Here is a 15,171-nt window from a genome sequence, read left to right on the forward strand (position 1 = left end):
GTGTGACGCCATGCCCAGCTAATGTTTAATTTTTTTTTGTAGAGCTGTGAATTCGCTATGCTGCCCAGGCTGGTCTTGAACTCCTAACTTACTCCACCTTGGCTTGCCAATATGCTGGGAGTACAGGTGTGAACTACTGCTCGTGACTGAGAGCTTACTTTTGTTTGCTAGTGGTGTTCTTGGTATCTTTTTATATTTGAGGCTTTTGTGCTAGTGCTGAAGTATTATACTCACCATCTGAGGTTCACAGGACTTTTGTTTTTATTATATTTTTATTTTTTATTATTATGCTTTAGGTTTTAGGGTACATGTGCACAACGTGCAGGTTTGTTACATATGTATACATGTGCCATGTTGGTGTGCTGCACCCATTAACGGGTCATTTAGCATTGGGTATATCTCCTAATGCTATCCCTCCCCCCTCCCCCAACACCACAACAGTCCCCGGTGTGTGATGTTCCCCTTCCTGTGTCCATGTGTTCTCATTGTTGAATTCCCACCTATGAGAGAGAACATGCGGTGTTTGTTTTTTTTTTCCCTGCGATAGTTTGCTGAGAATGGTGGTTTCCAGCTTCATCCATGTCCCTACAAAGGACATGAACTCATCCTTTTTTATGGCTGCATAGTATTCCATGGTGTATGTGTGCCACATTTTCTTAATCCAGTCTATCATTGTTGGACATTTGGATTGGGTCCAAGTCTTTGCTATTGTGAATAGTGCCGCAATAAACATACGTGTGCATGTGTCTTTATAGCAGCACGATTTATAATCCTTTGGGTATATACCCAGTAATGGGATGGCTGGGTCAAATGGTATTTGTAGTTCTAGATCCCTGAGAAATCAGAGCCCGTAGCTGGTGGTCAAGATGAGGGAGAGGCCCTCAGGGTCAGCCGAATGCCTGAGAGGCCGGACAGGCCCAAAGGTGAGCAACGTGAGCACATCAGGTGGGCTCAGAGCTGGCGCATGAGCCCCACAGCCTGCAGAGCAGCCCTGTACTCGGGAGCCCGCTCGCACCAACCCAGCGGGACTTCAGAGATGTGGGGTCCAGCCTTTCCTACTATTGCTGGGCTGAGGGCTGGGAGCTGCAGATTCTGACCCCACAGCTGCCTTAGACATGCCAGATGGTCTGGGGCAAGACACACCCCTCTCTATGAAATGAGCAGCCAGTCCAAATAGGTACATTAGAGAAGGGCTGTGGGATGGACCCAGCTGTAGCCTGGGGCTACAGGCTGGCTTCCGGGGTACTCAAGCAGCTGGCCTCTGGGGTAGCAGCCCCAGGTATGAGAGGCAGGACTCAGAATCTAGGCCAAGCCTCCATAGGAATCCCCTCTGGAGAGCCCGGGCACTCTGCAGGAGGGGCAGCAGGCAGCAGGTGCACCAGGAGCATGTTTCACAAGGTGCCCAATATCGCATCTGCTCAGATAGGCAGCGAGTTGGAAAGTGGATGCAATAGGCAGGGTGGCGGCTGCTCCCCACAGCCAGGAGTCCGGCCCAGCACCCACCTGAGTCCGCCTCAGTCCTGCTCAATTGGGTTATCCGTGCTCTTGGCCCTCTGATCCCACCCACAGAGGGAGGTCTTTGGGGCGACCAGGTGAGCTGGCCCTTGTGGGAGGATGTAACTGACTCCTGAGCCTGGCGAGCCAGGCAGCCCCTCGCCAACGTCCCCACCCCTACCTCTCCAGCCCCCCCGCATTCCCTGATCCTCCCATCCGCTCCCCTGACCCAGCAGTTGCCTCTGCTCACTCTCTTTTCCTGCTCCCAGGCTCGCCTGGTCATGTGTCCTTCACTCTCCTCTGAGTCTCCCTCTTTCCAAGCCGCCTCCACTCTACTTGACACACTCTCCCTTAAGACACCAGAGTACACAAGCGCAAGTCCCTGCACCTCACCTTTACTCCCAGACATGGGAGGGAGATGACATGAAGACCCAAACGCCACTTAGCAGGAGATCTGGGGTATGCAGAGGGGCAGAACGGAGGCTGTGGAAGCTCCAGGGGCTCCCTGCAGGAGGCCACATGTAAGCTGGCTATTGAATGTGGCTCTGAGCTGAGACCTCTCCTTGAAGCTCCAGACCAGGAGCCAGCTGCTAGCTGGACCCCTCCATTTGGTGCCTCAGAGAAACTTTGCACTCTCTAGGTCTAACTTTGAACCCAGAAAATTCCCCCATGTCGGCCCTGTCTCTTCACAGGGAAAGCACCACCTCAGACCCAGTTCTGCACCAAACCCACATTTGAGTCACGAGGCTCCTGCCCTGCACTGTGAGCACTCTGGATAAGCCAGTGCTGAGGGGGAAAGAGCTCTGAATGCCAAGCCAAAACATGAGCTTCAACTCCACCTCCAGCTCTGAGAGCTGTGGGTAGGGAAGGGCCCTCGTCCAGTTTGCTGTAGAAAGATCAGTCTGCCACTGTATGGCACATGGATGGCAGGGGCAGAGTGCAGGTGGAGAGAATAGAAGGTGGGCAGGGCAGGGGAGGCAGGGACATGGCTGTAGCCGTGGAGATGGGAGGACAGACAGGACTTGGTGGCCACTTGGGTGAACCAAGGGAGGAGTCAGGAAGAGACACCCAGTTTTGTATCAGATGTGTAGAGCGTGGGATGCTGTTCATTGACGGAGGGAGGAGGAGGAGGAAGAGGTATGGCATGGGGAGGAGGTAGCTGAGCTCTGTCGTGAATGTCATTTGAAGTCCCCAGGGAGAGCCAGGCCGGCCAGCCCCTTCACTGCTTCAGCCAGCTCTCAGGGTGTCTGTGCTCCCTGGCCCTCTCAGCTCCTGCTTCATAGCTGTCAGCTGCAGTGGGAGACAGCTGCACAAGGGCCCAGCATGTCTGTGTGTTTACCCAGGGGACTGCCGCATGGCCCATGCCGAGCAGAAACTGATGGACGACCTTCTGAACAAAACCTGTTACAACAACCTGATCCGCCCAGCCACCAGCTCCTCACAGCTCATCTCCATCCAGACGGCGCTCTCCCTGGCCCAGTGCATCAGCGTGGTAGGTGCAGAGGGTACCTGTGGCTCAGGCTCAGGTGAAGAGGCAGCTCATGCCCAAGCCCTAAGCAGTCAATGTCCAGAGGAATGAAATGACTAGAGTTGACTTAGACTCACCGGTACACGGTGGGGAGGCTGGAGGAGGGTCCATGAGGTTTATAGGTGTCCAGTATTTAATGAGGTCATGGTTTTGTTAACAAAGAAGAAATGAGGGTGGGAGCGAGATCACCACTGGCTAGGCAGCCAATGGGCCTGCAGAGACTCTGCTCAGCTGAGTCTCCAGCACGACCATGAGCTTCTCATCCTGATCCTCCCATCCCCACCCTACTTTTCTCCCCCAGCTTGCTCAACAGGTGACCTTACAGGCTCCCTACTCTTTGCAGGGAATAAGAACCAGACTGGGGGAACTGACGGGTACAGAGGCCCAGGTGTAGGCGCAGGACCACAGGCAGTGAAGCGTCTACTGACCCAGGCGGGTGAGGGTCTGGAGAGTGGGCATGGCTGCTGCAGGCATGGAAAGCAGGCACAGATGGCGGCACTCCCAGGGCCCATTGTCAGGGTCTCCACATGTGGACGTGTGCAGAGGTGGGGGTGCTGAGGGAGGAGGGGCAGGGAATTTCTCATCTTCTCTCTACTGCCTCTGAGTTGGAGATGTCAGAGGGAGCCATGGCCCACTGTAAAGTAACACAATGTCCCCACCCACAGGATTAGAACCCCTCCCCTGGAAGCAGCTCTGAGGGGAACAGTCACATGTAGAGAGTGCAGGGCACTGTGTCCAGCCGGGGGAAGGAGGTCACCAAGGGGGTTGACCCCCCTCTGGCCAGGTGGCTGCCTTCTGACACACCAGCCTCTGTCTCTAGCACGGTGGCCCCCACACACCCAGCCTGTGAAACCTACAGCCCTCAAGAAGGCTTTGGCCAAATTAAGGAGCGGCTCCCTCTCCCAGGAGGAAGCACAGGTGAAGGATGTGGAGGGCAGTAGAGTTGTGTGTGCTCCGCCCCCTTTCTCCACAGTCGGATGGAAAGAAGGGGGCTTTCAGCCAGGCTCGCCCAGGCTGGGGTCTGAGTGTCACTGTCCAGCTATTGGCTTCTTGCTTAATGGGTGAGCCCAGCTGCTCCCGTGCAGCTGCCGCCCTAGTGAGGGTGAACCGGCAGGCGAGTTACATTTCTGAAAGCCTGGGAATACAGTAAATATTAGGCTGTGGGCTGCTGGGCCAGGAAGAGTTGTTTATTTTTCAGGGTTTGTTTATCTATTGACTTGATGAGGGAGGGTTATAGGTACAACCAGTTTAAAGATGGAAATTTTGAGAGAGCAGGCAGGGATTTAGTGCTGGGTAAGCCTGGTCAAAGCGGCTCTTTTGGGGCGGCCAGAATCCAGTACCAATGTCCTCAGCATGTTCATCAGCTGCTGGGGGAGTGCGGGACAGCATGAAAGCACAGGAGAACTTTCTGGATGATAGAAATACTCTGTATCTTCAAAGGAGGTGGGTTCCATAGTAATGTTAAATGAGTTAAAACTCATCAAAATGTAAACCAGACCTGTGCATTTCACTAATAGAAATTATACCTCCAATTAAAAACATGTTTTAAAAGACAGATGGGCCGGATGCAGTGGCTCATACTTGTAATCCCAGCACTTTGGGAGGCTGAGGCAGGTAGATCACCTGAGTCAGGAGCTCGAGACCAGCCTGGAAAACATGGTGACATCCTGCCTCTATTAAAGGTATAAAAAAAAATTAGCCAGGCATGGTGGCACACGCTACGCGGGAAGCTGAGGCAGGAGAATTGCTTGAACCCAGGAGGCAGAGGTTACAGTGAGCAGAGATCGTGCCATTGCACTAGAGCCTGGGCAACAGCGCAAGACTCCATCTCAACAACAACAAAAAAAGGACAGATGAAGGTTTTCAACTTTCAGTAAAGGCAGAGGAGCTTGTTACAGATTCGCCTCCCCACAAGAGCAGTTAGAAAAACTGGATAAAAATGTGCCCCGCCCCCAATCAAAAACAATTGTTGGAAGGTAATTGGAGACCTCAGTCAGGACTTGAGTGACCAGGCCTAGGAGGTGATCCTGACAGTCTGTAGTGCTTTCCCACATTTGGTGATTGGTCAACAGTAGAGGGCTAAGAGGCTAAGAAACTGAGTATGAAGTGGTAGTTAAGAGGCTGGAGAGCCTAGCTGAATGTTTGGCACTCTCACAGGGCTGAAATGACCTAATGAGAATTTGGGTCCCAGGAAGGAGATGGGACCTTGGTGGGGACCCTGGAAGGGCCACCCCTGGGAGTCCAAATGAATAAAACATAGACCAGCCATCAGAAAACCTAAAACCTGCTTTGAACCAGCTTAGTCCCAAAGTAGATGAAGGCGATCTGCCCTTACTCCAATTGTGTGCCATAAACTCAAAGTCAATACTCTCTGGAGGCAGATAAAAGTTTACTATGAATGTCAAAAGACAACACAAGACTAAATGAGAAAGACCAAGAAGAAAACTAATAGAAACATACATGTAAGGAAGAAACTTTTTTTTTTGAGACGGAGTTTCGCTCTGTCACCCAGGCTTGAGTGCAGTGGCACGATCTCAGCTCACTGCAACCTCTGCCTCCCAGGTTCAAGCGATTCTCCTGCCTCAGCCTCCCAAGTAGCTGGGATTACAGGCATGCGCCACCATGCCCGGCTAATTTTTGTATTGGCCAGGCTGGTCTTGAACTCTTGACCTCAGGTCATCCATTTACCTCGGCCTCCCAAATTGCTAGGATTACAGGCGTGAGCTACCATGCCTGGCCAGTATTTTGCCACAATTTAAAATAAATAAAATTTTTTTTTCAGGTTTGTGCTCAGACTATATTCTAAACAGTCACATGGCGGCTTACTCTTCTCCAGGCCTTGCTGCCGGCTTTTACATGTTTATTGTCTTTGCCTTCTTGTCATGTGCTCATTAGATGGCAGCTTCCAGGTGCTCCTAAGGGGCCAGGAAAGAGAGTGAGAAGGCACGGAGGTTGCCAGATCATCCCCCTTGGGGCCCCGCCCTCATCAACTCCCTCAACCGGGTCTCCTGCAACTATTGGTGGGCCATCTCGGCCACCGCTTCGCCCTGAGCTTCCTGCTGCTGCAGCTGGGCAGTGCCTCCTTCTCAGAGGCCAGCTGCTGATAGGCGGCCACGTACTGCTGCAGGTGACCCAGGTAATGGTCTCGCTGCTGCTGCAGACTCAGCCTCTTGGCTCTTCAGCTCCACCTGCAGGATAGGCGTCAGGGTAGGTAGTGGCTGGCTTCCAGATTCTGGGCCCATAAACAGGGTAGTGAGGGCACTGCGGGGCTCTGTCGCCTACCCAGGCCCCTGGCCCTGGCCCCTTCCTCCAGGCCTAAATGACTGCCTCCCTTGCCTAGAGGCCCATGCCTCCCTCCCCAGCCTCAAATCTCACACCCTTCTTCCCACCATTTAAACTGTAGGCCACAGACTGGTGGAAAAGCAGAGGGAGCCAACCACCATCTGCTAAGTTGTGGTGAGGTCGTTCTGTATGATCTCCAGGGTTTGCACACACCTCCGCCTGCTCCCCCCAAGAGCTCGGCCTTCTGCCCCAGCTTCCCCAGCCTCTCCTCCAGCTCCTGCAGCCTCACCTGGTGTTCCTGCATCTTCTCCTCCTGCTGCCGCAGCCTCACTTCCTGCTCCCACATCTTCTCCTCCTGCCTCCGCATCTTCTCCTCCTGTTCTTGCATCTTCTCTTCCTGCTCACACATCTTCTCCTCCTGCTCCCACATCTTCTCTTCCTGTTCCTGCATCATCTCCTCCTGCTCTCGTATCTTCTCCTCCTGCTCCCATATCTTCTCCTCCTGCTCTCGTATCTTCTCCTTCTGCTCCCGTATCTTCTCCTCCTGCTCCCTTATCTTCTCCTCCTGCCTCCGCATCTTCTCCTGTTCTTGCATCTTCTCTTCCTGCTCCCCCATCTTCTCTTCCTGTTCCTGCATCATCTCCTCCTGCTCTCGTATCTTCTCCTCCTGCTCCCGTATCTTCTCCTCCTGCTCCCTTATCTTCTCCTCCTGCCTCCACATCTTCTCCTCCTGCTCCCGTATCTTCTCCTCCTGGTCGTGCATCTTCTCCTCCTGCCTCCACACCTTCTCCTCCTGCTTCCGTATCTTCTCCTGCTCGTGCATCTTCTCCTTTTGCCTCCATATCTCCTCCTGCTCCCTTATCTTCTCCTCCTGCCTCCACATCTCCTCCTGCTCCTGCCTCTTCTCCTCCTCCCGTATCTTCTCCTGCTCGTGAATCTTCTCCTCCTGCCTCCACATCTTTTTCTCCTGCTCCCGTATCTTCTCTTCCTGCTCCCGTATCTTCTCCTCCTGCCTCCACATCTTCGCCTCCTGCTCCTGCCTCTTCTCCTGCTCGCGTATCTTCTCCTCCTCCTGCCTCTTCTCTTCCTGCTCCCGTATCTTCTCCTGCTCGTGCATCTTCTCTTCCAGCTCCCGTATCTTCTCCTCCTTCTCCCACATCATCTCCTCCAGCCTCCGCATCTTCTCCTCCTTCTCCCACATCATCTCCTCCTGCCTCCGCATCTTCTCCTCCTTCTCCCACATCATCTCCTCCTGCCTCCGCATCTTCTCCTCCTGCTCCCGTATCTTCTCCTCCTGCTCCCGTATCTTCTCCTCCTGCTCCTGTATCTTCTCCTCCCACTCCTGTATCTTCTCCTCCTGCCTCCACATCTTCTCCTCCTGTTGCTGGTTCAGGCGGTTCCACAACTCGTTCTCTTCCACCTGGGCTTGGAGCTTTGCTGACACACTCTGCAGCTCCTTACCCAGGTGGTCAGCCTCCGCCTGCAGCTGCTGCTGGAATAGTGAAAGTGTTTTTTTGAACCTCAGAAGGAAGCAGAATCATGAGCTAGCCACATAAATGTAATCTATAGGCTGGGAGCGGTGGCTCACGCCTGTAATCCCAGCACTTTGGGAGGCCGAGGTGGGCGGATCACGAGGTCAGGAGATCGAGACCATCCTGGTTAACACAGTGAAACCCCGTCTCTACTAAAAATACAAAAAAATTAGCCGGGTGTGGTGGTGGGCACCTGTAGTCCCAGCTACTTGGGAGGCTGAGGCAGGAGAATGGCGTGAAGCCGGGGGGTGGAGCTTGCAGTGAGCCGAGATTGCGCCACTGCACTCTGGCCTGGGTGACAGAGTGAGACTACTTCTCAAATAAATAAATAAATAAATAAATAAATAAATAAATAAATGTAATCTATAAAATAATGGTTTTCATCCATGATCCTTTAAAAAAATATTTTTAAGCCCTAACTCTTGAGATTCTGATTCCCCAGGCAGGGCCCCAATTTGTACATTTTTAGTACACTCTAGAGGATTCTATGGCGGGACCAGAACAAGGACCCAAATTTTCCAGCTCTTGGCTGGAGCCTCCCCATACCCTGCATGATCCCTAGACCATGGTCCCAGCTGGATGGGTCTCCCACAACCCCCGGGGCTGCAGCTGCTCACCTGTGGCAGCAGGAGCTTGGCCCTCTCCAGTTTCCTTTTTAGCTCCTTTACGTTGAGCTGGATCTCAGACTTTTCAGATTCTACAAGTTGAAGTTTTTCTTGTAGTTTGGCATTTTTCTCCTTCAGCTCCTCATCAGTTATGCTATGGCCAGAGGCAGTAGAGAAAGGAATGAATGAAGAACATAAAAGACCACTTTGGTGATTGACCCCCTACCCTCGCCCCACAACCACAGAACCGTGGCGCTGGAAGGGACCCCAGGAATTAAAAGTCCCAGGTGGCAGGCCAGAGAGAAGACATGAGTTGCCTGAGGCTACCCCATGAGTCAGTGGCACAGCCAGCACTAGAGCTTCCGTGTGCACACATGAAAACATGTATGAGCCTCTCCCCACACTCACCTGGACCCCCCACCTCCCAGCACACCACCCATGCTAAGGGCCCCCAGACCTCCCATTCCACCTTCCCCCATCCTACGTGTTCCTGTACAGTTCCAGACTCAGGGCGTCCCTCTCCTTTGTTAACTCCTCAATGTACTGCAAATAGAGAAAGGTTAAGTCAGGATAGAGCAGGCACAGCAGTAGCTGGACGACCAGGAACAACTGCTACAGTGACTACTCCACAGTAACACTTCCTCACTCTCAATCACACCTGACGTGTTCTCAAGGCATTTCCAAGCCCATGGTCTCATTTGTTTTTCTTTCTTTCTTTCTTTCTTTTTTTTTTTTTTTTTGGCAGAGTTTCATTCTTGTTGCCCTCACTGGAGTGCAATGGCACAATCTCAGCTCACCACAACCTACACCTCCTGGGTTCAAGCAATTCTCCTGCCTCAGCTTCCCGAGTAGTTGGGATTACAGGCATGTGCCACCACACCGGGCTAATTTTGTATTTTTAGTAGAGACGGGGTTTCTTCGTGTTGGTCAGTCTAGTCTTGAACTCCTGACCGCAGGTGATCCGCCCACCTCAGCCTCCCAAAGTGCTGGCATTACAGGCGTGAGCGAGAGCACCTGGCCCTCATTTGTTTTTCAAAGAACTCAGTGGATGTGGAAGGGACAGGGAAAGAGATTGAATTTAGAGCTGGCTAACAGGGGCCCAGAGCGATCAGATAATATTGTTATTGTTATTACTGTTAGTACTACCATTGTTCGAACCTTTCTTGAGTGCTTCACCAGGCACTATGCTAACAATCCCATTTAATCCTCACAACCTCCATAGGAGACGGTTACCATTATTACCTCTATTGTGTAGATGAAAAACATGCGGTATTAAAGGTTAAGTGCTGCCTAAGATCACTTGGAGCTGGGATTTCAACACCCAGGTATATCTGATTCTCTAAGCCCATTCTTCCGCTGGAGGTAGGGGCACAGTTAAGAAGGAGGAAATTAATCCTTTGTTGAATTTTTGAAAGGATGATACGTTCGCATAGTCCAAAACTCAGAAAGTCCAGAAGGGAAATATCTCCCCCCAACACTGTGCCTCTATCCTGAGTTTTTTAATGAATCCTTACAAACGTGTTTTATGTATGTTACCATAATACGTACACACACACACATATACACCTGCCCCCTCTCTCCACACAAATAATAACATACTCAAGATACTCTTCTGTACCTTTATGGTACAAGTACCCTAACCGCCACTTAGGACTTGGCCAAGGCCACAGCCAAATATGGGCAGGGCGGGCACTTGGCCTCTGAGCTCTATGTCCAGTGCTCGCTCCTCACAGTGCTCCCCAACTCACCCACAACAGCCGACTCAGCCCCAGTCTGCCTCTAACAACCACACACAAAAGCAGCAAGAAATGGCCATGCTGCCTTCTGGGCAGGACACTCCATCCTACAGAAGGGACCTTTAGGCTCACTCCTCCATCTGCGAAGCTGGGCTCCCAAGGGACGGGGCCGTGTTTGGACTCACCCTATCCGCCTTCTTCTTCTGTGTAGCGACAGCAGAGAGAGCCTGCTCTAACTCTCCTGCAAACTTCCATGAATCATGCAGGCGGCTGATCAGATCCCTGGCCTCTCCTGGAATGAGAGACATTCAGATGTGGCCCAAAGGACTCCCCCTAAAGGCCTGTCAAAGTGCCAGGTTGAAGGATGATGGGGTGCCAGATTCCCACCTTCCAACTGCTTGACAGCATGCTGGCTGTAGTAGAGTGCCATCTGAAGCTCAGTTTTCTGACATGTAAGGATTCGTATGGTATGAACCTGGGCCTTTGGGAGAAAAGACAAGCAAATGCTGAAAGAGAAGCAAAGAAACATTCTCCAGAGGGCAGGAGGGAACTTCACACCCTCCACTCACCTCTAGCTCCCTCCTTAGGGCTTCCTGATGTTGGTGGCTTGCCTTCTGTTCCTATAGAAAGAGGAAAACAGAGCTCTTACTAGGGGGAGGCAGAGATCCACAGCAAGAGACATGCCCCCAGAATGGCACCACTGCCCCAGAACAGGCCCACCCATGGGACCAGTTTATCAGGGACCCTGTGGGGATGGGGTGGAATCTTGGGGGTGAGCCTTCTTCCCCAGGCTGGGAGTGGGTGAGATGAGGCTGGGGCCTCTACATCTGAGTGCCCCCAAACCCAGCGGTCATGTCGTGAGCAAAGAAATCACACTACTTCTTCCAGCTGAGCTCGGTTCTATTGTTTCTGTGGGGAGAGTCAAAGGAAGGTGACTGAGGGTGGCCCCCTTGACTCTATTCCCCAGGCCAGGAAGCGATAGGCAGGGGCCAGGAATGGATTTAAAAGGCACAGTTCTCAGACCCAATGGGAACATGAACTGGTCAACTCTCCTCAACTCCCAAAGAAGAAGGATTTGGGTCTTTTTGGTTTTTGCCCACAGCCACAGAACTCAAAGTCTGAAACTAGATTCTCTTGAAAAGACAGTAACAGAAACCTTCAGAGGTGGAGTGCGAGAAAAGCCCACCCTTCCGCCAGCTTGTGATTTAGAAAGGTGCATTCACTCAGCAAACGTTGAGCACATACGGGCCAGGGACGGTTCTTCACAGCGGGAATAGAGGTCAGAAAAGGCAGACAGGAGCCCTTGGCCCCGAGGTTTCCATTCTAGTGGGCCTTTAACTCTCGGGCTCTCAGAGCTAACAGAAACCTCTGATACTCTCTAACTCTACCTCAGGAAACGCAAGCCCAAGAAGGAGAGTTTACAGCAGGTCCTGGACGAGGGATTAACATAAAAACACAATGACAAATCTCATTTAAACTTCACAAACGTAAGGAAAACAATACCACTCGTATTTTACGGATGTGAAAAGAGAGGCCCAAAGAGCTCAAGCAATTTGCGCTAAATCATGTCCCTAGCAGATGGAGGGGTAGGATTCAAACCCAGAATTCTTAGCCAGTACCTGGCAGTTCTTCCACAATCTTAACAATTACCCTCCACCACCCCTTGGGCCCTCTGTCCCCAGGAGCCCGGCCAGCCAAGACTCACATCCTCAGGCGAGTGGCAACCACCAGAAGTGGTTGTCTCAGGGTTAGTGCCATTATTTATTTTCTTCTTTTTGGTGTCGCTTGCTGCTGTACCAACACTAGGGTTGGTCTGGGGATGATGGTCTGTCAACTGTGGAAAGGAAGAGCAGTGATACTCATGAGAACTACAAGCTCCTACAGTCACATCCTGCTTTACAGTTTATACTAAATACTCTTATAGACCATCTGATTTAATGCCACCAACTGTAGGAAATGTTGTCACAATCACTTAGTGACTGAGAGAGATTGATACCATGGCTGAAAAAAAAGGCAGTAATGGAACTTAAACTCAGTCTTCTGACTCTGAGCTCTGGGATTTTGCCCTAAATCAGCAGCTGCCAGGGACCAAAACCAGAGGCAGAGGTAGAAAAGCAAATATTAAGTAGGCAGGAACTGTGCACTATGTGGTTTAGGGTTATTCACCCTCACACGTCTGTTAGTGTTAAAAAGTACACCAGTACCTCTCAAACCTTTACATCAATGTCTCCTCATGGCAGAAGGCAGCCTTTCTGCTAAATCTGGGAATTTAACAGAAAGAGGACAACCCAAGCCTCATTTCAGAGAGAAGTCTTGTATACGCTTATAAATCTACGTGACTTTCATCCCTAAGTACATTAATGTTTTGCCTCTCAATAGAATCAAGGGAAACTGATGCTTCAGAAAGATGCCCCATATTTATCCTGTGGCACTCAAAGTACCCCAGGTTGAGATGAGATGAGGAAGACTCAAGCTAAGTTCAGTTTCCCAAGATCTGTTCCACAGAAGATAAGCAGATCTCACTCCAGAACCAGTGACTGAGGGGCACTCTGGTCCCAGAACAATGGAGAATTCAAATCTGAGGTGCAGAACTGAGAAAAAATGTTAAAATCTCTCTGGAGAGTAGAAGCCTGGGAGAAAACCAAACCAAACCCGTTCTCCCATTGCCACCCAGAGACACTGTCAACGTGTTGAGCTCATGGGGGAGGTGTAGGCTTTTCACACTGTCAAGGTCTGTGGTAAGGAAGTCAGGCAGCCTGAAACCTCTCTCTTCTAGGTCCCACAGTCCCCATTCCCCTTCCAGCTGGAAACCTGTGCTGCAACCAGAGGAAACAGAAGTGGGCAAGAACACTTAGGGGACTGGGTCCTAAGACCAAAGGCCGGTCTTGTGGTAGTAATGACAGTTTGTAGCGGGACTGTGACATCACTACATTCTACTCCTCGGTGGAGTGGTTGGGGGGGACACATGAGTGCAATGCCCAAGTTGCCGCTTTGAGACTGGGGAGGGGGTCACAAAATTGGGAGCCAGGTCCTTGGAGACGTGACCCCAAAGAGCCCCGGGAGGTCAGGCTTGGGGCGGCAGGAGGTGAGGGCCAATTAAGGAGCAAGGAGCTCCAGGAGTCACATCCCCAAAGTCACCCTGTGGCAACTGGTGAGGGCAGGTTCTGGGGCACCCAGGTCCTTGGAGATGTGAGCTCAAGGAGCCCAGGGAGGTCGGGTTTGGGGTAGCAGGAGGTAAGGGCGGAGTATGGAGTTGGAAGCCCCAGGAGTCACCTGCTCAAAGTCACCCTGGTGTGCCGGGCAGAGCAGGGGCAGGACTTATGAGGGGGTTGGGCTGGCTGACAAGATTTTGGTGTGGGGAGCCCAGAGGCACTGGGGTGGGGGGCCCAGCCTGGTGTCCCTCAGGAGTGGCACAGACTCTGGCAGCAGTTCGGCTGTCAGAGGGGGCCTCGGGTTGGGTTGGGGTGTTGGTGCGTTTACCTGTTCCTTGGCCTCGGCCAATTTGCTCTGTCTGGTTTCTTTGGACATCATAGGATGGGTAGGGAGGTGGGGATGGGTAGGGAGGTGGGGATGGGTAGGGAGGTGGGGATGGGTAGGGAGGTGGGGATGGGTAGGGAGGTGGGGATGGGTAGGGAGGTGGGGATGGGTAGGGAGGTGGGGTTGGGGCCACATCAGCATGATCCAGGTGAGGACAAGTATATACCTCCAGTCACCTCTACGTCGCTGTGTGACTGAGCCAGAGGAGGCGTAACCAGGGCTGCACTAGAATGCAGAATAGGGGTGTGGCCTTCATGCTTGAAGCCCATTGGTCAATGAGAAAGATGAAAGGAAAAGGAGGTGTGGCCAGACAGCAGCGTGTCATCAAGGACCTGTGTTGTCACAAGGAAAGCTGCCTATGCAACCGCTGTCCCCGCCCACTCCAGGAGAGGGGCGGGGCTGGCTTTCACTTTAAAAACTTTAAAACTTTATTACCTCAATTGAGGTACAAGTCCTATTAAAATGGAAATTTTATAGTGTGCTTGATGATTGATAAAGCAGACTTTATTATCCAACATTCCAATAAGATAATCACAATGTTTTCTCTTTTTTGGAAAAACTTTCTCTTATTCTCCTACATTAGCGTTTAGTTTTTTTAAAAAAAACAAACAAACAAGAAACATGTCTAATATCTTTAAAAATACAAAGCTTTGAGCCAGGCGTGATGGCTCATGCCTGTAATCCCAGCACTTTGGGAGGCTGGGGCGGGTGGATCACCCGAATTCAGGAGTTCAAGACCAGCCTGGCCAACATGATGAAATCCTGTCTCTACTAAAAATACAAAAGTAGCTGGGCATGGTGGCAGGTGCCTGTAATCCTAGCTACTTGGGAGGCTGAGGCAGGAGAATCCCTTGAACCTGTGAGGCAGAGGTTGCAGTGAGCCAAAATCATGCCACTGCACTTCAGCCTGGGCTGCTACAGAATGTGACTCTGTCTCTAAATACACACACACACACACACACGCACAGACACACACACACACACACACACACACACACACAAGGCTTTCCATTTAATAAGCACTCAAAGTTCTTTACAAGGTTAAAGCAAATACAGGACCCTTCTAAAGTAAGGCTAAATGCTAAGTGATGGGGGAGAGAAAAAGGACATAAATAACTCCTACTCTCATGAGTTAATCACTAAATCCGATTTTTCTAGAATCACCTGGCCTCTAAGCCCTGAAAATGAAACTGAATTTCTCACTCGATACTTGGCTATGACTTGCAATCATGAAAACCAAGAATTGTGTTATGTCACTGTGTATTGCTTGTTACCTGGGATCAAGGGTTGACTTTTTCATGATTTGCTCCATTACCTGTGTGCTTCTTCTCCCAGTCCAAACTACGCTTTTTTCTAGAGTTCTACAATTTACAGTTAGTATGTAAGGGTGGCTCTCAAACATGTAGTCTCCGGACCAGGAGCACCTGGGAACTTCTTATAAATGTAAATTCTCAGGC

At 51.3% G+C, this 15,171-nt stretch overlaps 1 protein-coding gene and 1 pseudogene across 1 annotated transcript, besides 2 other annotated features; one reads left to right on the plus strand and one right to left on the minus strand.

Annotated features, from left to right (window-relative positions):
• The first annotated feature begins 866 nt into the window (after positions 1-866).
• LOC101060118 (WAS/WASL-interacting protein family member 3-like) lies at positions 867-2,019 on the plus strand (annotated as a pseudogene).
• Positions 2,020-4,189: 2,170 nt separating this feature from the next.
• GOLGA6L1 (golgin A6 family like 1) lies at positions 4,190-13,946 on the minus strand. The gene is made up of 9 exons (NM_001001413.3): positions 13,658-13,946; positions 11,883-12,011; positions 10,747-10,797; positions 10,565-10,658; positions 10,363-10,469; positions 8,926-8,984; positions 8,454-8,595; positions 6,594-7,796; positions 4,190-5,937 (listed from the first exon to the last, which is right to left on the minus strand). The coding sequence occupies exons 1-9, from the start codon at positions 13,853-13,855 to the stop codon at positions 5,914-5,916; spliced, it is 2,007 nt and encodes a 668-aa protein (NP_001001413.3). The 5' UTR covers positions 13,856-13,946; the 3' UTR covers positions 4,190-5,913.
• Positions 5,685-6,185: an enhancer, noted in NCBI's record as "H3K4me1 hESC enhancer chr15:22744007-22744507 (GRCh37/hg19 assembly coordinates)". NCBI's record gives its function as "activates a minimal SCP1, AML or CMV promoter by ChIP-STARR-seq in primed H9 embryonic stem cells {active_cell/tissue: H9 hESC(primed)}" and the evidence as "EXISTENCE:reporter gene assay evidence [ECO:0000049][PMID:30033119]".
• Positions 9,339-9,859: an enhancer, noted in NCBI's record as "NANOG hESC enhancer chr15:22740333-22740853 (GRCh37/hg19 assembly coordinates)". NCBI's record gives its function as "activates a minimal SCP1, AML or CMV promoter by ChIP-STARR-seq in naive H9 embryonic stem cells {active_cell/tissue: H9 hESC(naive)}" and the evidence as "EXISTENCE:reporter gene assay evidence [ECO:0000049][PMID:30033119]".
• Positions 13,947-15,171: the final 1,225 nt, after the last annotated feature.

The sequence above is a fragment of the Homo sapiens genome, chromosome 15 (genome assembly GCF_000001405.40).
Source record: "Homo sapiens chromosome 15, GRCh38.p14 Primary Assembly".
Lineage (NCBI taxonomy): Eukaryota > Metazoa > Chordata > Mammalia > Primates > Hominidae > Homo > Homo sapiens.